The 25,256-nt window shown below is 38.9% G+C and overlaps 1 long non-coding RNA gene across 3 annotated transcripts in view; it reads left to right on the forward strand.

Moving 5' to 3' along the window:
* Positions 1–25,256, forward strand: part of LOC124902439 (uncharacterized) — an 820,351-nt gene that overhangs the window by 300,591 nt on the left and 494,504 nt on the right. The window contains exon 1 of one of the 3 annotated variants that reach the window (XR_007062166.1): positions 24,100–24,394. The exons of the other annotated variants lie outside the window; for them this stretch is intronic. This is a non-coding gene — a long non-coding RNA (uncharacterized LOC124902439). Of the gene's footprint in view, positions 1–24,099; positions 24,395–25,256 lie in introns of those variants that run through there. 3 annotated transcript variants of the gene reach the window in all.

The following is a 25,256-nucleotide window of genomic DNA, read 5'->3' on the forward strand; positions in this document are numbered from 1 at the left end:
CCTATGACTGGTTAACAACATCTGCAAGGTGAAGGAGAATGAAGAGATGTTATGCATGAGGTATTTGTTATCCTTGGTTACGGGTACCATGTTACGAGTTTCTCCAGATCAATAATACAGTACCAAGGGAGAATATGCCCTAAAAGAGCAAAGTTCATTGAGGATGTACATTTGATTCTGTCCTTTTCTGTGGAATTTTAATATATCTCTCCCCAGTATGCTTCAACATTTGCCAAGAGTCTTAGGGATGTTGAAATAAAATTTACATATTTAATTTTCAATCCATGAGGTTAAAAATGCATTTATTTATTCCTAAAAAATGACTTGGTTTCATTTTCTCTCCTAGAAATAGTGAAAAAATAGCCTTAAAAAATTAAGCACAACCACCCTGCTTTATGCATATTCACAAGTCCATCCAGTACAAAGTGCACAGTATGAATGATTTTACTGTTTTTTTTTTTAAAGGATGAATCCTAATTTACACATAATTAAATCTAATGACTTTTAATCACAATCCTCCAAAATATCAAAGAATTGCCTGCACCTTGAAGGTTCTTGAACTTTTTTGGAATTGCCCTTTTAAAAAAGATCATGGGGCGGCTGCTAGAAGGTTTTCTTCTCGATTTACAACTCAGGCATAGATTTAAGGAGAGTGTAATTACCAGATACAATCCCTAAACAGAATTGAATTGCTTCCTGGATGCCAACCTTGTTGCAGACTGACCTTCAAAGGGAACAAAACAACACTGCAGCTCTGTGTCCTTGTTAGATTTTAGCAGGATAGAAAACTTTTTTTCCCTAGGCAAAAATGAGACAAGGAAAGCTGTTGTTACTTATCCTTTGAGAATTTTTATCTGCTTGGTCAGAGGACAAGAAATCCCAGTTATCATTGTCATTCCTTAAAAACAAAACAAAACTTATTAAAAGAGCAATTCTGAAAGATCTACAATAAATCACTTGCTCTGAAAATTGAACCAACCCAACAGTCTCTAAATCAACCACCTACTTGTTCTTCCCTGAAGAAAACAAAAATCAGTTATTGTCCATGAGGCCGCGGTGGGAGACGGACCATGGAAAACCCTAAGTTAGGAAATAGGATCTCATCTCCCAGGTTAGTTCATATTCTGGAAATAATCAAGTTGAATTTCTCTACTTTACTGTGCAAAAGAAGATTTCTTCACTGGCAGGTTTTCTTTTTCTCCTCTCCAATCATTATGTATAGTAAGTATTAGGTTGTTATACCCTTTCTTTTTCTCTGGAAATAAAGCATTTTGCTATGTTCAACATTCTCATTAGTGTTTGGATAATTAGTTGGTGGGGTGGGAAAAAATTCTACAAATATCATTTGGCTGGTAGAATTTGCAGGCCAGAGCTTTTTACTGCCTACACATATACACATACATACAAATGTGCATGCGTGTACCTGCATGCACACAAACACACACATTCATATGCTGGTATGCATGTGTGCACACATACTCTTTCTCTCCATTCCTTCATATCATACAAAACAGCCAAATAAAATCCAATAACTATTATTAGCCAGGCTTCTAATTACTGTTCTGAGGCGGAAAATGAGGGCAGGTAAGGCATTTGTAGCAATCAGAATAGAGAATGCTAGTTCATCTTTCCTTTCTTAATTGTAACCATCCCTGCATGTCTCTCTCACCCACACACTCACCACCACTACGCCTCCATACCGTTCTACACGTATTTAATAAAAGTATTTCACCGTGTTCTTTGGCAATAATTATTTTCACTCCCTTATACAAACACACTAAAAAAATACACTCGTAAAAGCTTTTTCTTTTTAAATCTTGCAGTGCGTGTGACAAAGTGTGAGGCATCTGACAGGCAGCCAGCCACCTGTGAAGATCGTTTTTAAACAGATGGTGCACAGCAAATTAGTTCAAATGTAGACATCACAATATAAACCTGGAAAATATTCACGGATGTGGATTATGATAATCCCATGACCCAGACCCATTGGTCAGTTGATTCTGGTTAGAATGAAAGACTTTGTCTGCTGAGAGTTTAAAAAAATATAAACTAGCAGCTTTGTATTTTGGGAATGAAAAATTGCTCTTATGCAATTTTTCATAAGATTATGAAGGAGTCTTTCCTACATATTTCAAACACCTCATTCTTTCTGGCACTTGCATTTTTTTCCATTGGCAACCAGATATTCCTTACCGACCTCTGTAACAGATTAATGAAGACTCTTCACATCCTGGCTTCTGCCTGCCTTTCCCATTCTCCCCTTTCCCCTCTTGGTCCTTAGCAGGTCACGCTCTACTAGTATTGATCCGTTCTCCAGATGGTCTGCACTTGTTTTTATCTTCTCCTGGGCCTTCATAGATGCAGCTTGATTTCTAGGATATCTTTTCTGCCTTCCTTAAGTGTAAAATTCCTATTTACCCATCTAAGTGCTCCTTGTGTGTCACCCCTCTGTGAAGATTCTCTGAATACATGATCGCAGAGTAAAGAACTTCTCCCTCCCCATAATCCCTGTTCCACAGTATCAACATTATTCTTACACCCACCTCCTTCCCTACACTGTGAGCTCAGAGAGGGAAGCATCTGCTTCTTATTATCTCTCCTTCTCAGCACCTGGTCTGGTGTCTGGCATATATTCAATGGTCAGTAAACATTTGTTGAACAAAATTAGAAATGGTTACATATCTGTCCTGAGATTGTAAGTTTCTTGCAGGTCAGGACCATGTTTTATTCAGTTCTCTTTAATATGAACCAGCAAAGTCACTTTCATGTAAGTACCTAATTAATGTCACTGCACCTATTTGTAAGGGAGTGGGAAAACATAGCACCAGGAGTCAAGAGAATAGAGTTCTAGTCCTTTCCCTGCTAACAATTCATTAGGCAAGTTAGGATAAGTAATATAGCTTTTCTGAACATCAGTGTCCTTTTATGAAAAATGGAGAATAATCATACATTTCCTATTTCCATTACAGGCCACTAATGAGAATCAAACACATTTTCTAGATTGGGAAGTGCTTTGTGAAGCAAGAGGCAGGATAGTATAGTGAGGATGAGCTCACACTCTTGAGTCAAATGGGCTCTGTTACCTCTTGGTTGTGTGACCTTGGGTACAGTATTTTACCGCAACACCTGGGGTTGGTCTAGGTCTTGCTGCTCCCAGCACAGAACGCCAATCACTGAAACAATGTGTATTTCCAGGGCTGATGGTTTTATTTGGGTGCTGCAGACAAGGAGATGGGAGGTCAGTCTCAAATCCATCTCCCTTACTGACTCAAATTAGGCGTTTATATAACAGAAATTTAAGTACATGTAGGAAAATGGGAACTAGGGAGGGGTAAGGAAGATGAGTTGGTCAACAAGAAGCAGTTAGTTGGTTAGGCAATCATCATGGGTGAAAGGCCTGACTCCTCATTGTCCAGATGCAGTGATCTGGTAAGTTTCAGTTCCTTGATACTATCTGGGAGGCCTGATGTTTGGTTTCCAGAGAAAGGGATTCAGATAGGACAATGGTAAATTTCTCAAGCTTTAAGATTGGGAGGATGAATTTCTATGTTTATTCAAAAGAAACAATAAACATCAGTTATATGGAATAATTAGGCTGGTTTCAATTAGTTTATATCTCTGAGTCTCAGTTTCCCATCTGTAAAATAGAGATAATGATAGGGTCTACCTCATGAAGTTGCTATGGAGTTTAAATAATTTGTGTGAAGCATTTAGTGCCTTAACAACAAATAGTAAGTCCTAACAGATGATAGTTTTTTTAAAAAATGACAGTTTAACAATTTATATAAGTGCAGGATGTTATTATTACTCACTGATGAATTATTCTTCAACTTTAAGACAAGTAAAAGGAGAGTCACTCAGATGGAAAAGAGAATACCATACTCTCCCTTCCCCTTGCATGACCTATCCTCCAGCCAGTTCCTGTGACTGTGTTGTCACAAGCAAGAGAGTCCACAGCAGATAATAATAGGTTCCCTTTCCACAGGGATGCAAACAGTATGGACAGCATACAGACTTCAGCCTTATCAAATGTTTTATCTGACCCTCAGACATTCCCCCACTTAGAAGTGGGATTACTGTGATAGACAGGAAAAGTACACATATCTAGGCAATTCCTAGGGATAGACAGGTCTATTCCCTTTTCAATTTGCTGTTGCTTGCCATCACTGGTCCCAGACAACTGCCTCAGGCAGCTCTGACTTATGACTTTTCTAGGACTCTTTCTACCTTCCCCAAGCTTGGATACAGCTTTCCTTTATTAATCCAAAGCAAAGTTAACATTTTTAAATCTCAAGACTTGAGCATAAGATAAGCCAGTTGCAACAAGAAAATGTGAAATTGAATGTGAAATTCACTAAACATGTATTTGCCGTGACACTTTATGAGTCCTGTATTAACTACCTCTATCCTTAGCCCTGGATTAGGAGCCAAGCCTCACTTCTCCCCTACAGATAGGAGACCTTGTGATCATGTCACCACTATTTTTTGGAGTTTAGACTCCTGTTTCCCTGGGATGCATTAGAATACCAACTTCCATACCATTTCAGAAAGCACATTCATCACCATCTGTAGGGTAGGGCCTCTGTAATGTTTAGCAATACATTCTCCAAAATTGGAATCACTCAGTCTTAAAGATTTCCTTGTACGAAACACTATACTAAATGTGTATTTTGAAAAAAAGGCTCAGTGAGAGCACAATTTTACCAAAGATACCCCCACTTTATGTTTCTAGGCAAAATATACATCTGCATGCCTAAAAAGGGTCACTCAAAGTTGCCCCTTCTACAATTAAGGGAGGGACTTAAACTAAGGCTGAATTCTAGCTTACCTCAAGTAGACACTGCCTATGCCCACTATACCCTCCTTGCCACTTTATAATCTTCCACTTTGAAATAAAGATTTAGACTCCATCTACAGGAACAGGAAAAGCTACTAGAGCATTCAATGAGAAGTTTGTCCTTCCTTCATTTTATTAGGAGAACAAAATTTTACTACCAAGAACTAGGAACAGTGTCAAGAAACAACTAAACCTGTCATCTAATTATGAGCAGGAAGACCAACACAGTTAAATTATTATCTAATTTTTTGGTTCTTATTTGGAAATTATTTTAAATAGTCCTTAGAGATTTAAACAATTCCCAAGAAATGTTTTCAAACACTCTTGCCATTTTAATACACCCATTGTGACCAAAAGTGAATAAACGCATACTTTTCCCTGATATTCTGGAGAATGTTCCAAACAAGACACATTGGGAAAGCAAATAAAGGTGTCTGCCAATAAAAATCGTTGCTTCCCAAAGAGTCTTCACATATCAGGAGATAGCCCTGATGCTAACATTTTTATCAGGGAAAGATGAAAAAATAGTGTAAGATGTTAATTCCCAGTGGAAGAAAATGAACTCTGGATTCAGATGCAGGTGAGGCTTGGGTTCAAATCCCAGGTCTGCTGCTTATTAGCTGCATGAACTTGAGGAAATTATTTAACCTCTTATTGCCTCAAATAACTTCTGTTTAAAATGGAGATAATGGGAGTAAATGCGTCATAGAGTTGCAATGAGATTTCAGATTGTCCAAGTAAATAAAGATGGTGCACATGCTGTCATGGTGTCCAGCATGAAGCTCAATGCTCAGTGTGCCTTAGCTATTATTGACATCATTATTGCTGCTGCTGTTATTAGGATAAGAAAAAAAAATCTAGCCCAAAAGAAAAGAAACTTATTCCTATGACTAGTAAAATACTCCTTCTTTCCAAGATCCTTGCAAGTCTAGTTGCACTTAAATATTATGTGGGTGCAATGTCCTAGAATGGGGTAACAACAGTCTTTGCTTCAGAGGAACTTGCCTTCTTCCGAGAATGCTGAAAAAAACAAAACAACACAAAACAAAAACAGCCATCTGTTCTAAATCTTTTGGATTTGATTCATACTACCTTGTGGGTCTCTTCTTTAAAATTCCACTTTGTGTTTTTTTATGCCCTTTGAAGTTCATATAAAATCAATATGTAGAAATCAGCTTTATACATATTAAATTTCTACAAAACACTTCTGTTTGGAATTCAAGTCTCACAAAGCACTGATCCATGCTTTTTATCATGCTTTTTATTACTATTAGAATAAATGGATGCTGTGCTTGATTATACTTGTTGAGTAGTGGGTAAAAGACCATGAAATATCCAAATAATCCAGGAATGGCTGCCTTGAAGTCCCCTGGGAAGAAGAGGGATTGCTTGCTAAGAGTCTTTAAAGAACAACAAGTGCTAAGAAATTTGTTTTGACCCATTAAATTTATATTGGCTTCATAGCTTTCAGGCTTCTCTCACTATCTGCCTTTGCTGCTATCTAAAAGCTGCAATATGGAAATGATCAAGTTTTTGTTCATATGTTAACTGGGTTAGATGATTAAAGTAAGATCAAACTAGATACTAGGTGGTTCCATCCTGGCTCTTGCATTGCTACTTGTTCAACTCAGCTTATGACGAGTATTCTTTCATTGATGAGAACAAACCCCAGAGAAATAGGAGTCACCTTAGCGAAGAAGTCTTAGAGATTCAAGAGAGACCCCTACTTAAGCTCTAAGTAAGTGAGACGTCTCAAAGGTATCCTCATCCTTGGTATTAGCATGCCCCTACAGCACAGCAATGACATCCTAGAGAAGAAGGCTGCTGGAAGAATGCAGTTGCAGATACAAAGAAGTAAATAATGGCCAGGCTTCCTGAGGTGAGCTGTAAATCATAGCAGGGCTGTGCTAGGGAGGAGGTGGGGCGAAGAGGGTAGACATTAAGTCTAATATGGGCATAAATGGTTGAAGTTTTTAAATGGACTGTATAACTGGGCCACATGCTCCCAATATGTTAGCCAGTGGTATACTGCATGAACCGTTGCATTTTACTGCTGTGTAACATTGCAAAAGGCAGCTCTTGGGGCCCTGGTTGCAGACGGTGGGTGGATGGCCGAATGCTTTCCAGGCAGCAGTGCCAGGTTTGGAAGAATCAAAAGGAAGGTTCATCAACCATTGAGATCCTTTAAATTTACAATCACAAACTCTCACAGAAACAAAATTAAAATCAACTAGAGAAACTAGATAAGTACATTTCTTTTCACTGACTGGGGCCTAATTTCCCTTAGGTAGGCACACAGGCCCATAACCAGAGTGAGTGGATGTTATCTCCTACAAAACAAAAATTTAAGTAATTTTTGTAATTTTAAGTAATTTAAGTAATTTTTTTTTTCAATAAAAGATTTTTTTTTGGTGCTGAAATTTTAACTGAGGGTCCTTGGTAAATTTCTTGCTTTGGAAAATGCATTAATACCTTTTGTTCATCTTACAGAGAACTCTGCCTTTCATGAAAGCTCATCCAAGGTAAAATAAAGTTCAGGAAATTGGAAAAATGAGAAACAACCAGTAAGAGAGTTAATTTTGGAGACGAAATATGTATAAAAGTTAGGGTGAAGAATAGACATAAAAATACATATATTTTCAAATTTGCCATAGTTTTTTAAATTTTTTGTTTTGAGCTCAGAAATTATAGTTCGGTCACAAAATGGTCAAGCCTACTCCATTCTTACCATTTCAGTTTCAATGGACTTGCCCTTGCAGCCAATTCCAGGGGTTCCTTAAGCCACTGGGTATGTCCTATCTCCTAGCCACAGTGACAGAGGAAGAGACTCAATTCAGGCTAAATGGTAAAAAAAAAAAAAAAAAAAAAAAAAGTTTGCTGGAAATTCTGTGAAAGGAACGCTCTCTCCTCATCTGTATCTCCTGCTGGAGTTGCTTGTTCTACAGGTCTTAAACTGCCCCCTGAATGGGATCCAGCCGTGAGAATAAAGCTGATCCACATAAAGACCCAGAGCTGAGAGCTGGACATAAACTTTTATTTTTGGTCTTTCCTTTTTCTTCTTTTATTTTTAACTTAACTACATACCCTGAACGGTTTGTTTGACTCATCTGAATCTCATGTTGAAATGTGATCCCTGATGTTCGAGGTGGGGCTTAATGGGAGGTGTTTGGGTCTTGGGTGCAGATCCATCTTGAGTAGATGAATGCCTTCCCTGGGATGGGGGTGTGAATGAATTCTTACTCTATTAGATCCCAGGAGAGCTGGTTGTTAAAAGAGCCTGGCACCTCCCCTCTCTTGCTTCCCCTCTTGCTGTGTGATTTCTGCACATGCTGGCTCCCTTTCACCCTGTGTAATGAGTAGAAGTGGCCTGACAATCTCACTAGAAGCTGAGGAGATGCAAATGCCATGCTTCTTGTACAGCCTGAAGAATAATGAGCCAAATAAACTCTTTTTCTTTATAAATTACCCAGCCTCAGGTATTCTTTTATAGCAATACAAACAAACTAAGACACTGGTCATGGGGATAGGCCATGGGATTAAACTTGCTCATTGTTATTTTCAGTGCTATTACTGTCACTATACCTAACTATTTGAATGCATTCACTATTCATTATTAGGGAAGCAATGCAGTTTTAAACCCTTAATTCCATTCTACCTACTTCTAAAAAGAACTGTTAGATTCTCTAATCAGTCCTCAGAAATTATTCATTAAAGCATCAAGTTTACCCTTCCCAAATTATATATGAAGAAACTGGGCATTCAGGTCTTTGCCCTGAAACACTGGAGAAATAAATGGCTAAGAGGAGAATATAGTTTTTCCCTTAAGTACTGTATCTATACATTTCCAGACAAATCAAATAATTGGGAAAGATCAAGTGATAAAAACAAGCTATATTTGGGCCGGGCATGGTGGCTCATGCCTGTAATCTCAGCACTTTGGGAGGCCAAGGCAGGTGGATCACGTGAGGTCAGGAGTTTGAGACTAGCCTGACCAACATGGTGAAACCCTGTCTTTACTAAAAATACAAAAATTAGCCAGGCTTGGTGGCGAATGCCTGTAATCCCAGCTACTCGGGAGGCTGAGGCAGGAGAATTGCTTGAACCCGGGAGGCAGAGGTTAGTGAGCTGAAATCGTGCCATTGCACTTTATCCTGGGCAGCACAAACAAAACTCTGTCTCAAAAAAAAAAACCCAAAAAAAACCAAAAAAACAAAAAAACCCAAGCTATAGTTGGTTAGATAGGTTAGATAGACTTCATGATAAAAGAAGTGTTTGGTTATTTTCTATTCTTGGGCTGTATATTCTTATGGAAAACTGAATAACAAAGTTATTCAGCTCTGTATAATTCCACCTTATACCTTTATAAAATCTAACTCCCTTAGTAATTCTAGTACATTCTATCACTGAAGAAATGGCCAAAGGCAGCTGTAGAAATTAAAGTTTGCTAACACTTAGTCGAACTGACATTAAAACAGCTTTATTTAGTTCTTTCATAACTTTCATGACCTTATAGACATCTATAAATTGAAATAAATAACTTATCTCTTGTCCCCAACATGATATTTACAAGCTTTGAAATATCAAGTCAAAACTTATATGCACATTTTACATTTCAATTATATTTTCATTAGATTTTCTAGGGCTTGCTATTTGGAAAATAATTATAAATCTCCTTGTGACTTTGCTAAAGTACATTGAAATTGTAGTCATACAAAAAATACAAAAGGCTCACTGATACAGTGTTCTTAAATATCTCATTTAACTTGGAAGCACCTCATAAACACACACTTTTTAATGTGCTCTTTTTCTAAGATTTTAAAAATTTTCAATTGACATTATATCAAATATGCCTGCTTGCATATTTATATCCTTTTTGTATCTGATATAAGCAATTCAAGAAAATGTTTAACTAACATTTTTTTCAGATCACAAAGTTTTAGAAAATCTGGAAATCTTCATTAAAAAATTAAACTCTGTCTTGTTACTAAAACAATTTTTATTTTCAGCAGGAAACATACCAGGGCACAGTTACATTGATGGATAAGACAAGTAGAAAGTCATTAAAAATTTTTAAATTTTAAGATAATTTCTATATTCTAGAGAGAAACAGAAATGTTTTCTGGGAAAGGTCTGTGTTTTTGTTGTGTGGTATGTGACATGACCTCTATAAGCATCAAAGACTAATGAAAAAATAAAACACAGGAAAAACATTTACTCATTTATGTAATAAAGGATATCAATAACTCCAGTGTTTGTGAAGGTACAGGGAAGAAGGCACATTATTGGTGAGAATGGGGTTGTTATAATCTTTTAAAAATTTAAAATGCACATATCTTTTGACCCATAAATTCAACTTTTAGGAATTTATTTTATAACTATAGGAATAGGTAAGGATGAGAATGTTTTCTATAAAAAGTATGTGAGAAGATCTGAATGTCCAGTTTAAGAAGAATGGTGGAATAAATCACAGGTTGGCAATACTAGGAACTACTACATTGATATTAAAAAGAATGAATTTAATCTATACATATTGACCTTGAAAGTTGTTATGATATTTTAAGTGAAAAAAGTGAGCTGAAAATTAATATGCATGGTACTCTCTTTTTATTGATCAAAAATGAAAACCATCCGATGTAAATGTATAGGCTTGTCTATGTTTATTTATGAGCATTGAGAAAGATGTAGAAGGATGGTGTTGGTCATCTCACAGTCACGAGATTGAAGATGGGAGAAGGAGATTAATTATAACTTTTGCATACACCTCTATATTATTTGACCTATTGCAATAAATCTGTATCACTTTTGAAATAAAGAGTGAAAACAAATAAATGAGTGGGCAGCAAAGACTATATGAATGATCTAAGTTGTAATTTTGTTTCATACAAATATCAGTCTTCTAAGAACGTATACAACTTTGAGTCTCTATAATTATTACAAAGTAAAATGGTTTAGGACTGCCCAGTGACCAAAAATGGAATTAATACCTATGACTCCAGACGTTTCCAGATGTCTGGATGCTTACCTCGACATAGCTGAGATATTCAGCTAGTTGGTGGAATACAACACAATGTCCACCATCCTGTGGCATCATGTAGTGTAAAAACAGAAACCTGATCTCTCTAGTAATTTGGGCTTTTAACTGAGCGGTACTGATATGACCAAAATAGTGAGCATAATTAACTGTATTATGATGAACAAAGACATTATGGGTTGAATTGTGTATCCTTCCTCAGAAAAAGATATATTGAAGATAGCTTGAAGTACCTGTGAATGTGACCTCATTTGGAAATACTAGCTGCAGGCTGGTACATCTACAAATTTGCAGATATAATCAAGTTAAGATAAAGCCCTTAGGCTGCGCCCTGACCTAATATGACTGGTGGCCTTATAAGGAGAAATTTGGACACAGGCAGAGACATACAGGGAGAACTTCATATGAAGATGGAGGCAGAGGAGCCAAGAAACACCAAGGATTGCAGGTGAAGCCAGAAGCTGAGAAAGGTAGGAAACAGATTTTTCCCTAGAGCTCTCAAGAGACAACAGAACTGAGGGACAATAAATTTATTTTTTTCAGTCACTCAGTTTGGGGTAATTTGTAATGAAAGCCCTAGGAACCTAATTCAAAACCCAGAAATAATCCCAGAGAGAAGATAAAAAGGGAAGAAAAAGTAAGTGTGACCAACCAGAACCCCTCCATAGCCCAAACTTCATGACTAGTTAGTCAAATATTATTCTTAATTTATTTTAAGAATATGTGCAGGGGGGAGAAAGAGTGAGAGACAGAGAGAGAGAGAGAGAGGCAGAAATGAGACAAAGCTACTTAAAAATACATCAATACATCAGCATTTAATTATGTGTAATATAATACTGGGTAACATTTTGAGAATAATATTCAAAATTTCTATAAGATGTAGGTTTACAAAAACTTTAGTAAGAACTAAATTGATTGGCAGTTTTTCACAATTACGTGATGTTTGATTATCCCATCTTGCTTGCGTCCAAATATCTGGTCACATTGTCTGACGATGAGAGAGAGCATTTCTATTTGGGAAGGCAATAAAATGATGAGTTATAGAGTGGCAAGGGGAAAAGTTGTGAGTGTGGTGGTTGTCAAATGGGTGGGGTATGGGCCCTCAGTATAGTTTTAGAGGGACATAGGATTTTCCTGAAAGTAACTCTTGCTGCTTACAAATATTAGCTTTGTGTTTTAGTTACCAAAGCAGAAATGCATATATTCTAGAATATTATTGTAATCCTCATCTACAAATGTATTGCTGTTTTTTGTTTGTTAGTTTGAGTGCTTCAAAGCCAGGGTAATAACTGCTTTCTCTTGACAGCACTTCTGAAACTTAAGTGAACTATTAATTTAGTAATGAAATGATCATAATTGTATAAATATGGGGTTGGGAATAGCAGTGGCTTTTATCAAGCTGTAATCAGGTTACTTGTTAAAGTGGTTCACAGGAGGATGTTACGGAAGGATGCAGGCTGGTGCCACCTGTGCAAATAACCTCATACTTCATGAACCACTCTTGGTGCCTAAAGTAGAAAAGCCAGTCCATGAACATAAGCAGAAGGACCATGTGTCAGTGACAGTAAATTCTACTGAGTGGAGGGGAAAAGTAGAATTTTGATGTTATCTGATAGGCCAACTTGGTAGTGGCAGCTCTGTCCTTGTTCAATTAGAGACTAAAGTAGACTGCCCACGAGAGATACATTTGTAGTCTCCAACTCTGTGAATACAGAATTGTTTGTATGCACTACTTGATTTCTTCTAAGTCATGTTTCTCCCTAAAGTCACATGTCAAATAGGCATAGCTTCACATCACAAATAAACCAAAACAACTTAAAGAATATTTTAGGAGCACTATCACTCAGGTGAATAGGAGTAGGCAATCACAGAGTTTTTGTGTGATGTACTTGGTGAGCTTAAGGGGCCAAAAAAAAAAAAAATCTGGAAAAGAGACTGTTACTCCTTTAATCTTTAGTCACTTCCAATTTCTTTTGTTTGCTACTGTTTTTTAAAGGATAGCTGATACCCACCGTATCTTTTTCCTCATCATCCTCTTATCACTTAAATCTGGCTATTGTTCCTACTGCTCTAGTCAAATTTATTTTGTGAGAGGCCAAAATACTGCTTAGTTGCTCAATCCTATGATCTCTTCTAATCTTCATTTCCCTGACTTTTATAATTCCATTTGGTATTATTCATTGCCAATTTCTCAGTTTTTCTGTACTTTTAGCTCCCACAAAACGAACGAATATCAGTCTTTTCTAGCCTTTCCTCATTATTGTTCTTTCTCCTCCAAGTCCAAATGTAGCGTCCCCCAAAATGGTCCTTAGCTCGGTGTCTGCTGGAGACACATGTGAAGTAGTGGAAAATAATTGGCCTACAGTTAAAGGAGTTTAAATTCTGGCTTTGAAACTTACAATTGCAGAGAGAAAGAAAGAGAGAGAATTTAAATAGTGTTCCCAGTGTGAGCAATGATTCTGTTATTCCTTTAGTTGAATGTGTGCACAGCCGTCTTCCTCAAACTGAACATCTGTCAGTGCTAAGTATGGTCCCAGTGTTTAAATGGTCAAGAGGTACTTTTTGTTTTTTTAAATTAAAATGTGATCCCTAAACTTCTTCATCTGGGGTTCTAGTAAAGGAACAGCAAACAGCTCCAGGCCGGTAGAATGACTGCCTGAGTTAACTGAAGGCCAGTACTGTACTGTCTTAATAGAGAGTTTAGGGCCCTCAAGAGTGTTTTCAACTCTACAAAATATTCATTGACTTTAACATTTAACCCCTTGCATAAGAGGAAATGCATTGACCTTGAGTGATTTACTCAGTGTCCCTGAAGCTTGACATGCGAATGTCCTGCACACAGTTACAGTCAGTTATAATGCTCCCTTAAAAAATACTGCAAAACATTCTGATGATCTGAAGAAATATTTTTTTGGTAACCATGTAAATGGTTTTGAATTTTAGTATTTTAATGATATTTTAAATTTGCAAAAAATTTCAAAATAATACAATGAATTCTCATTTTTCCCTTTATATTCTTTGATTAACCTTTTACTATATTTGCTTTATCTCTCATTTTCTACACTTGCAGATTTATATGTACATATATATACATAAATACATATATATGAAATATATTGTACACCTTTCTTCCCATTTCAATATTCAGTGATTTTTTCATGAATAGCTTGAAATCAGCCATGGTGGGAGAATTTATACAACAGAAATAAGCAAATTGATATGGTTTGGCTCTGCATCCCCACCCAAATCTCATCTTGTAGCTCTCATAATTCCTACGTGTTGTGAGAGGGACCCGGTGGGAGATAATTGACTTATGGTGGTGGGTCTTTCCCATGCTGTTCTCATGATAGTGAATAAGTCTCATGAGATCGGATGGTTTTAAAAAAACACAAGTTTCCCTGGACAAGGTCTCTTCTCTTGTCTGCCGCCATGTTAGATGTGCCTCTCTTTGCCTTTTGCCATGATTGTGAGGCCTCCCCAGCCATGTGGAACTGTAAGTCCATTAAATCTCTTTTTCTTCACAGTCTCGGGTATGTCTTTATCAACAGTGTGACAACAGACTAATATGTAAAGACTACAAACCAAGGCTTTTCTTTATTAACCTGTTTTCTGGAGAGCTAGTTTATCAGCATGTCATTGCTTTTAACACTAAATATTTTGTGCCCCAAGAGTGAATACATTCTCTTACATAACTACAGTAAAAAGAGCAACATAAAAAAATTAACACTGAGATAATGCTGTTAAGTAATGCAAGTTGATATGAAACTTCGTCCATGGTTCCAATGAAGTTCTTTATAGTTATTCTCCTTCCTGATTCATTGTGTAGAATGTCCTTTGACTTCAGTTTGCCTGATGTTTTCCTGTTATGCTTTGTTTGGCGGGAATATAATTTAAGGGAGAACATGTCCTCAGTGCATGAAATCAGGAAACAAGGAGTTAACTTTGATCACTTGGTAAAGGGAATCTCCACCAGGTTTCTTCACTGTAAAGTTAACTATGTTTCCATTTGTAATTAATCATTTACTTATGGGATGGTACTATCATTTAAAATTTGATACAACATAAAACATTGCAGTGCATGAACTAAGAGATATAAATAATGAATAAGAAATTACAAATTTTTATAAAACTAAACGTTTTATTTATTCTGAAACCGTTTCAATGCTATAGGTTGTTGTTGTTGTGAAAACAGAAAGTTAAAAAGTGAAAATACAAGCTATGAGCAGCATGTTCTGGAAAGAGTTTTCATGTTGTAATCAAAGGCCTCTACTTGTGAGGTGCTTATGTGTGCAAAAAGAGAAGAGAGAGAACCATGGTAGCATGGTGGGGAGGGAGGTGGCGGAGATATGCCTACTCCTTACTGTACCCCAGTCCACTCTTAAGTTGCCGCTGCTGCCAATGCCCCAAGAGGGTCTCTGAACCTCAGTTAGCTCATCTATAAAACTCAGATACCAGTTATGTCCTCCTGGAGAGAGTGGGGGAAGTGAAATTAAAGAGTGATGGTTTACTAAATGCCAGGTATGTGCCAAATACTCTGCATATGGTATGTCATTATCCTCCTACAAAGAAGTTACTATTATTACTCTCATTTTACAGATGGAAAAAGTGAGGAAAAGGTTTGAGATGAGAAATGTTACGTAATTTGCCAAACTTAGTAAATGATAGAGCCAGAATTTAAACCAAAGGAGTCTCACTCCAGAATACATGCCTTTTCTACTATCCTCTTGCTCGATTGTCCTCAAGATACGAATTCTCTTCCACTAATTTCATTTTACACACATGCTAAGTACAGAATAGTAGACAGGCATGTATCAGAGTTCAAGAGACAGGGCCATATTAAGACTTCTTGAGGCCCATTTATTGGGACACCAGTTTTTTGGTGTCCTTGCTGGACACCGAAACTAATTTTTGGGGGTGTAAAGAGGACAGTAGGATGTGATAAATGGGCCTCAAGAAGTCTTAATATGGCCCTGTCCCTTGAACTTGAACTCTGATACATCACTTTATTTATATCTTTATTGTCTAGAGCAGGGTTTCTCAATCTTGCACTATTGACATTCTGGCCAGATAATTCCTTGTTGTGGAGAGCTGTCTTGTGCATTATAAGATGTTCAGCAGCATCTCCGGCTTCTACCCACTAGATGCCAGTGGCATCCACCCTGCAGTTGTGACAACCAAAAATGTCTTCTGATATTGCCAAATGTTCCTAGAGGGAAAAATCAACCCCACTGAGACACTGCCCTGAGGCATTGCTGGCTGTACTTTTTGGAGTACTCAACACTTTTGGCAGCTAAGTGGCTGTACCCTTGGTGGCTGTGTGATCCTACCCTAGTCACAGCCACTGGACCTAATTTCCTTTGCAATTAAATGACCTATATTTTCTGAATATGATATGCATTTGTAATGTGGACTAAAATGAAAGGGCCATTCTAAAGTTTTAGTTCTTCCTCTCCAATTGTTTGAAAAGTAAACTCTCTTTGCTTATTGGAAATGTCCTGGGACTAGAGTTCAATCGCAAGGCTTAGCTGTAATCCCTGCTCTACCTCAGGGCCCTGCTTTGAGCCTCAGTTGTTGCAGCCTTAAGAGCACTGTCCTAAATCAGAAGTCACAAATACAATGATGACAGGGCTAGGCAGGTAAGAAACGTAAAATCAGCTTGTGTAACACATCAGGAAATACTGATGTCAACAGAGAACCAAAGTACAGGCCCTGGCTAGAGGCTTTTGAATCACACCTTTAAAACACAAAGGTATATCTGAGCCAAATATGGCCTGTGGACAGTGGAAATGTGGTGTATAGAAATGCTACTGATTTTTGTATATTAATTTTGTATCCTGCAACTTTATTAAATTCTTTAATCAGTTCTAAAAAATTTTTGGTGGAGTCTTTTGGTTTTTCTATATATGAGATTGTGTTGTATGCAAAAAGGGATTATTTGACTTCTTTTCCAATTTGGATGCCATTTATTTCTTCCTGTTGATTCATTGCTCTGGCTAGGACTTCCAGTATGGTGTTCAATAGAAGTGGTGAAAGTAACCTCTTTGGCTTATGCCAGTTCTTAGAGGAAAGGCTTTCATCTTTTCCTCATTCAGTATAATGTTAGCTGTGGTTTGTCATTTATGGCCTTTATTATGTTGAGGTATTTTCCTTCTATGACTAATTTGTTGAGTTGTTATTATGAAGTGATGTTGAATTTTATCAAAACTTTTTCTGTGTCTACTGAGATGATCATATGGTTTTTGTCCTTTGTTCTGTTGATGTGATGTATCACATTTATTGATTTGCCCTTGGACTAAATTTGTTGCCTGGACTAAAATGATCCCTAAGATCTATTTCAGCTACAGAATCACTTCTTTCTGCTAGCTGAAATACTCTTTAGTATTTTTCCCTATGGAGACTTTCTAAGCTTATAGATACCCAATCTGAAAAGATCCAGAAAGCTTCTACATTTATTTATAAATTCTAGTAAAGAGAATGAAAGTTAAAAAATTCGTTCATTTCTTTGAGCAACTGAATAGCTTTTGTTATAGCCTCATGTGTGGTGAGACTGTTTTGTTCCATCAATTAAAAGATGTCAATGAAAATAACTCATATATTCATTCATTCATTTCATCAACAGATGTTTATTTAGCATCTATTCTTTACCACTTTAACTGTGTTGGTTTAATGTTTTTTACAGGATTGCTAGTCACATGGAAGGAAAATAACTTGTTCATTGTAAAACTAAATAGCTTGTTTCAATTTTGTGCATGCAGTTTCTTTTTTCCCAACAAGCTCTGCACTATCATCAAGAATCAAATACAAATATTCATATTTGGTGAAAAAAGCAAAGAGGAGAGATCTGTAGCATTCTCCATATAGGCGTTCACTGGAGAATGATTCCCGACTGTGCCAATATGGAAACCCAAGAGTTAATTTCAGAAAGCACTTAAAATCTGATATGAGAAATTTCTCTCTATAAAAAAGAACAATATCCTGAGGCAGGCAATTATCTACTGAAATGAAAACAGAAAGTCAAGCCATAGGATAACAGCTGAAACCTTAAAGAACAGAAATATTTATCAGTGGTAATTTAAAAATAAGATACATAAAATTAATTTCAAGGTCCTCTAGGATTTTCTTTCCATTTATTTCTCTTTCTGTCAGAAATTTGCCAGTCTGAGTTGTGGGCAATTTTATAAGTGGTACAGAAAATAAGAGCTCTTCCTTTCTCCACAATTACCAGGGAAAATTGAGAGATACTCTTTAATGGAAGCCTAGATATATTTATGCTGATGTGCACATACTTTCTGGAATGACCGTCCTTTCTGAATGCTAAAACCTAAAGAGTAAAGGGATAAGGAAGCTGTGACTAATCGTATGTAATTGCCATAAATTGGAGCTGCACACCAGTGTAGCAGAAATAATTACTTCTGGGGAGTTTATCACCAGCAATTTTAAATCCAAGGGGACACCAATGAGGTCAGTTTTCTGTGTACAAACACAATGGCTGGTAACCAGAGTTAATGACCATTTGATGGCTACCGGATAAGGCCTGGCAGAGGTTGGAAACACTATTTCAATTCAGAAATTCTTTGAACTACAGCTGTGCAAGGGTCCTTAGAGATCATGTAATTTAACCTCTTAATAGTATAGAAAAGAAAGCCCAGGTTTTGAGTGTTTAAATTACTTGGACAAGACATGCAGCTTGGTCTCCTCTCTTTTTCCTAGTGTTCTTTGTGCTTCTTCAGGTTGCTTCTCAGGATGACCAATTGCCTCTTAAGGCAGATTCACAGTTGGAATTCAGAACCTAATTTGTTACTGACATCAGTCTGGCATTCATAATGTTAAGGGTGATGGTGAACCCAAATCCTTCCCATGTCAGTCGTCTGACTGTAAATTCGTGGGGTTGCACCCCTAACCAAGGCATTCACTTTGTGGACTAGATTTTAAACATTTCCTGTGGTGGAGACAGAAGGCTGATATTTATAATAAGATGTGATTTTTCTGTCTCAAATACGTTCAAATCGTAGCCTTTGGAATTTCTGAAGATTCTTATTTTACATTTTTCTATTTACTAAGTGCTGTGAAATTTCCCAGGCTGATCATGGGACTCAGTGGGGCCTGAGGACAGTTATTTTGTTCATCTCGTCTCTAAGAATCAAAGGTAACCCCCTGAGTGGCACTCAAAGCATTGTGGCCCTCTGAGACTATTGGTTTTTGATAAGGTTTATCAAGAATATCCATAAAACAGCATCTAGGAGACTCAAAACATGCTTATAAAAATGGGGAGTCTTATAAAAAAGATAAGAAGATAACATGTGGCAGGGTCTGGTGGCTCACACCTGTAATCTCAGCTACTCAGGAGGCTGAGATGGGAGAATTGCTTGAGGCCAGGAGTTTGAGGTTACAGTAAGCTATGATTGCATCATTGCACTTCAGCCCCTATGCAACAGAGTCAGATCCTGTCTCTAAAAAACCCAATAAATATAAGTTTAAAATAATTTTCAAAAAGACAGCAAGTGGATAGAAAAAAATAAGGATGGGATCATTAAGTAGAAGAGACAGAGAACATCTGTCACACACACACCTATGTGCTGGCTGGCCATGGGTAGCCACATATTTGGGTCTAAGAGTTCAAGCCAAGTTGAAAAGAGAAAACTGGGTGTTTGCATGATTCACAAAATCTGTAATATATAAAGTCCATAAAATATATATATGGGTTCTATGATAGTGTCCTGGACGACATTCTTATGATACATGTGCTGACAAAATTTTCTTTAAAAATGATTCCTTAATAGAGATAGATATTCTCTTCCCAAGAAATAATCCGTGCAAATCAGCTCTACTGGCAAGAGTGGTAGTTTAGGAGGCTGGGGAATATAATTCAGTCTGGGTACCTCTTCCTTTGCCAGTCTGGCTGAATGCCTGGATAATGGTAGGTTATCCCATGGGCAAACTAATAGAGAGTGTAAGGCACCAACAAATTATGTGTCTGTTGAATAAAAATTGGGTAATTTCTAGTGAAATTATTCAATCAAAAATCAAGAAAAAGTAGGTTTATATTTTCACCATTTGTTTATGTTTTCTGTAATTTTGAAGAATGGCTTATTTCAATTTGCATATATCAGAAGAAAGCACTGTCGTCTTCTCAGTTTTTATGGGCATTAACCTGGCCTCGATTCAGGGGCATATCTTATACTATTTAGAGAAATGAAACATTCTTGCTCTTCAAGCAATTGTGCTAAATGTTTTTCCTCTTGGTAACGTTTTGATTAATACTAAGTGGCCCTGAGCTTGAGATCGTGTTTCCTGGAAAGTTCCAGGAGTGTAGGTATCATCAGACTTCAGAGCTTGGTACAGAACAGGTGAAAAGAAGCCTTTTTTTCCACCCCCCATGACCCATCACTTTTCCCAGGAAGCCAGAGGAAGCCTCAAAAATGGCTTACATTCTTTTCAGACGCTGTTTTTCTGACTCTACCCTATAGTCCAGATGGGTACATTCTTTAGGCCCTCAAGTGTTACTGAATAGAGCAGATGCACTGTTATTTGGCATCAAAAAATTGCATGGCATGTGTAACTGCCTTACCATGTAATAGCCAAAATATAGCCATATAGCACCCATGGAACCCAATAGTAACACCTAGCAGTGATGTCCATTGCTTAGTACTAGTTATATTAATGGGACAAAAGATAGGCAACACACTTAATGAACAGATAAAGAATATCTGAGAATAATAAATTACATTATTATCAGAGCTGGAAAGAATTAAGCTGGGAAGGTCTCCTGAAAGATGTATGTCTTTATATGTGATATAAATCATTCTACTATAAAGACACATGCACACATATGTTTATTGTGGCACTGTTCACAATAGCAAAGATTTGGAACCAACCCAAATGCCCATCAATGTTAGACTGGATAAAGAAAATGTAGCACATATACACCATGGAATACTATGCAGCCATAAAAAAGGATGAGTTCATGTCCTTTGCAGGGACATGGATAAAGCTGGAAACCATCATTCTCAGCAAACTAACACAGGAACAGAAAACCAAACACCACATGTTCTCGCTCATAAGTGGGAGTCGAACAATGAGAACACATGGACACAGGGAGGGGAACATCACACACCGGGGCCTGTCGGGGGGTGAAGGGCAGGGGGAGGGATAGCATTAGGAGAAATACCTAATGTAGATGACAGGTTGATGGGTGCAGCAAACCACCATGGCACGTGTATACCTATGCAACAAACCTGCATGTTCTGCACGTGTATCCCAGACCTTAAAGTATAATAAAACAAACAAAAAATGTGATATTACATACAGCACGACTAAATGTAGGTCAGATGTCCATGAATTCTTCTCCTCCCCTGAATTTTAAAATGTAGACATACAGGGGCCGGGCACGGTGGCTCATGCCTGTAATCCCAGCACTTTGGGAGGCCGAGGCGGGTGGATCATGAGGTCAGGAGATCGAGACTATCCTGGCTAACATGGTGAAACCCCGTCTCTACTAAAAATACAAAAAATTAGCTGGGCGTGGCGGTGGGCGCCTGTAGTCCCAGCTACTCGGGAGGCTGAGGCAGGAGAATGGCTTGAACCCGAGAGGCGGAGCTTGCAGTGAGCTGAGATCGCGCCACTGCACTCCAGCCTGGGCGCAGAGCGAGACTCCGTCTCAAAAACAAACAACAACAACAGCAACAACAAAAAATGTAGACATACATAATGCTAACACCAAACTAAAGCACAATATCTGCGTTGACATTTTATGGATGTCTGTTTATAACTGTGCCCTCATCATGCATAATAATCATGTTACAAAAACCTGTTTGAGAGAAAAATTAAAATATTAACTCATTTTTTATAATTAATGGGAGTTTCAATTTAGTTTCGCAAGTCACTCATTATTTTAAATTTAACTTCAGTTCTCAGCTAAGGATGAAGTACCTTAAACAGTTATTTGGGAATAGTTTACTTCAGAGAAGCTACCTGGAACATGTCCACAGAGATGGAAAATGTTTTCTCAGCAGAGAACTTTATATTTGTGATTCCAAAACAAAAGGCGGCATCATTTACCAGAATACAGCATGGTATAAAGCAGACAAGTACACTAAAAGTTTTCATTAGCACTGAAATTAGTTGCATAAAGTTGATGTCACTTGTTGTCTTCGGTGACTTTAATTCCTGCTGCCTAAGTTAAATCAGTATGGCAGAAGAGCACATATCCTTGGTCATTTGTTGGAACAAAAAAAAGATTAAAAACCACACACACAACTGAGTGGTTAATTTGTTGCTATTTTGTCAAGTCAATTAAGTTGAAAATATTCCATTGTTGGGGAATGACCTGTTTGCCGATTTGAAGGTGACCCTAGACAGCAGAGCAAGAGCGACTTCCGTGGTGCAGCTCCGTGGGTCATTTTATATTTAGCGCTGTAATTGGCTTTTCTTCTTTCCCTTTATAAATTGTATGAAATTTGGGACGACTCAGGCTGCTGACTCCTTTGCAGGCTGGCTTCATAGATCAGAAATTTCTACTTAGGAGTGAAAATATATCTGTGCTCAGCTCATTATATTTGCTTATAGGGTCAGCCTTATCCATGGGGCAAGCTGGAAGCCACTGATGGTGTGATTAAAGAGCAAAAAGAAAGCTCCCTCATCCAGGGAGGCAGCAAGAACATGGTCTTTGTGTGACATTGTGCTGTTAAAAACAACAACAACAACACAAAAACAGAAAAACCCTTTGAACCTCATTTTCCTCATCTTTTAAATGGGGGTAAAGATTCCTAATTTTAGGGTCATTTGACAATAAAATAAATCAAATGAGTGCTTTATATAAAGTGGTGATCAATAAAGACTAATGGTTATATCCAAATAATTATCATCCCTACTAACCCATGGCCAGTCCTAGAAAGGACCAAAATGCCTCTGGGGAAGTGTTTCACATTGAGCCTTGAGCATCAGTCTTTGACTACTTTATGTGAATTCATTTATATAGTCCTTTCAACTCACCAGCAGAGAGTAGAACCCAAGGGTGACATCACTGTCCTGGTGTGTCCGGAATTGGTGGGTTCTTGGTCTCACTGACTTCAAGAAAGAAGCCGCGTACCCTCGCGGTGGGTGTTACAGTTCTTAAAGGCAGCGTGTCCGGAGTTTGTTCCTTCTGATGTTAGGATGTGTTTGGAGTTTCTTCCTTCTGGTGGGTTTCTGGTCTCGCTGGCTCAGAAGTGAAGCTGCAGACTTTCACGAGTGCAGACCCAAAGAGTGAGCAGCAGCAAGATTTATTGCGAAGAGCAAAGAACAAAGCCTCCACAGCGTGGAAGGGGACCCTGGTTGCCACTGCCGGCTGGGGCAGCCTGCGTTTATTCCCTTATCTGGCTCCACCCACATCCTGCTGATTGGTCCATTTTGCAGAGTGCTGACTGGTCTGTTTTACAGAGAGCTGATTGGTATATTTACAATTCCTTAGCTAGACATAAAGGTTATCCAAGTCCCCACTAGATTAGCTAGACACAGAGGACTGATTGGTGCATTTACAAACCTTGAGCTAGACACAGGGTGCTGTTTGCTGCATTTACAAACCTTGAGCTAGACACAGAGTACTGATTGGTGTATTTATAATCCCTTAGCTAGACATAAAGGTTCTCCAAGTCATCACCAGACTCAAGAGCCCAGCTGGCTTCACCTAGTGGATCCCACACCGGGCCGCAGGTGGAGCTGCCCGCCAGTCCTGTGCCCTGCGCCGGCACTCCTCAGCCCTTGGGCGGTAGATGGGACCACGCGCAGCGGAGCAGGGGGCGGTGCTTGTCTGGGAGGTTCCAGCCGCGCAGGAGCCCACGGCGGGAAGAGGGGAAGCTCAGGCATGGCAGGCTGCAGGTCCCGAGCCCTGCCCTGCGGGGAGGCAGCTGGGGCCCAGCGAAAATTCGAACGGAGCGCCGGCGGGCCGGCACTGCTGGGGGACCCTGCGCACCCTCCGCAGCTGCTGGCCCGGGTGCTGAGCCCCTCACTGCCCGGGCCGGTGGCGCCCGCCAGCCGCTCCGAATGCAGGGCCTCGGAGCCCACGCCCACCGGAACTCGCGCTGGCCCGCGAGCGCCGCGCGCAGCCCCGGTTCCCGCCCGCGCCTCTCCCTCCCCACCTCCCTGCAAGCAGACGGAGCCGGTTCCGACCTCAGCCAGCCCAGAGAGAGGCTCCCATAGTGCAGCGGCGGGCTGAAGGGCTCGTCAAGCATGGCCAGAGTGGGCACCGAGGCCGAGGAGGCGCCGAGAGCGAGGGAGGGCAGCCAGCACGCTGTCACCTCTCACTGGGACACAGTTCAGAGCCTAGCCCTGTGGTAACACTTCTTGATAACAAAGAACAGAATCATAGGAGAGAGGAGCACCAGGGGTTGACAGAAGCAGCCTTTGAATCAGGAAGCATCAGGACTACAAGTGGGAGGGCAGAATCCACCTCCCTCAATATGCTGAAGCAGAGAAAACTCCAGAGAACGGCCAGGGCATCCTGGGATTACAAGCAGCAGAGGGCAGTGTAGATGCAAAGGAGGAACCAGGTAAGTTAAGGCACTAGTTCCTGTGGCCTGGAGTTGGTTGGCCTGTTGAGGACTAGCTACTTCCTAGGCAATGACCTAAGAGGCAGCAGTTGCTCTTGGTCTTTAAAAGATCTCGTCTTTGTAGCACAGAACAACCTAAGCCTCGAGGCCAGCTAACTGAAGTCAGGATTTATTATGGAGAGAAAGTGCAAGGCACTGCCGCCTGCAAAGGGCAGGGGGCCCAGCCAGGTGCTAAGAGCAGTAGCAGGTGTTTTGTAAAGAGAATCCCCTCCCTTTTCACAAATGGTGGAACACCGACTTTGTCCATGAACTTGTTATTCAGTTTCCAGAAATTATATCCAGGTTAGAATGCCACTTCCATCATATTCTGTAAGCTAGAAATGATTCAAGCAATTCAGGGGAAGTCACACATTATTTTATTATTTGTTTACTCAAATTGAGGGTCCTTCTCCATGTCTCCATTTATAAAATTAAGAATTGATTGAAGTTGTTGAGCTTTGATAACTTTTGGACTTCACGCAATGATTTGATTAGTAAAGAATGTGATTTGATGCAGGGACCTCAGTAATAAGTAATGGGAGGTGGTTATAGTCCACATTCTTCTAGGAATCTATCCTACGGAAGGCTGGTCCAAGTGGTGGGTCCAGATATCAATCCACACTTATTATTGATTAAAGAGGCAAACAACAATTAGAAGCCAAAGTGAACAGATTGGCCATCTCAGATTTCAAAATGTTAGGCATTCTTATAGCCTAAAATGTGTGATTATATGTGTGTGTTCATATGGATCAGACTTTTTCTGCAAGCTCTTTGTGGTCAGGTGCTGTGTCATCTTTGACTATTTTAGCATTAAATAGAGTGG

Source organism: Homo sapiens, chromosome 10 (assembly GCF_000001405.40).
Source record: "Homo sapiens chromosome 10, GRCh38.p14 Primary Assembly".
NCBI lineage: Eukaryota > Metazoa > Chordata > Mammalia > Primates > Hominidae > Homo > Homo sapiens.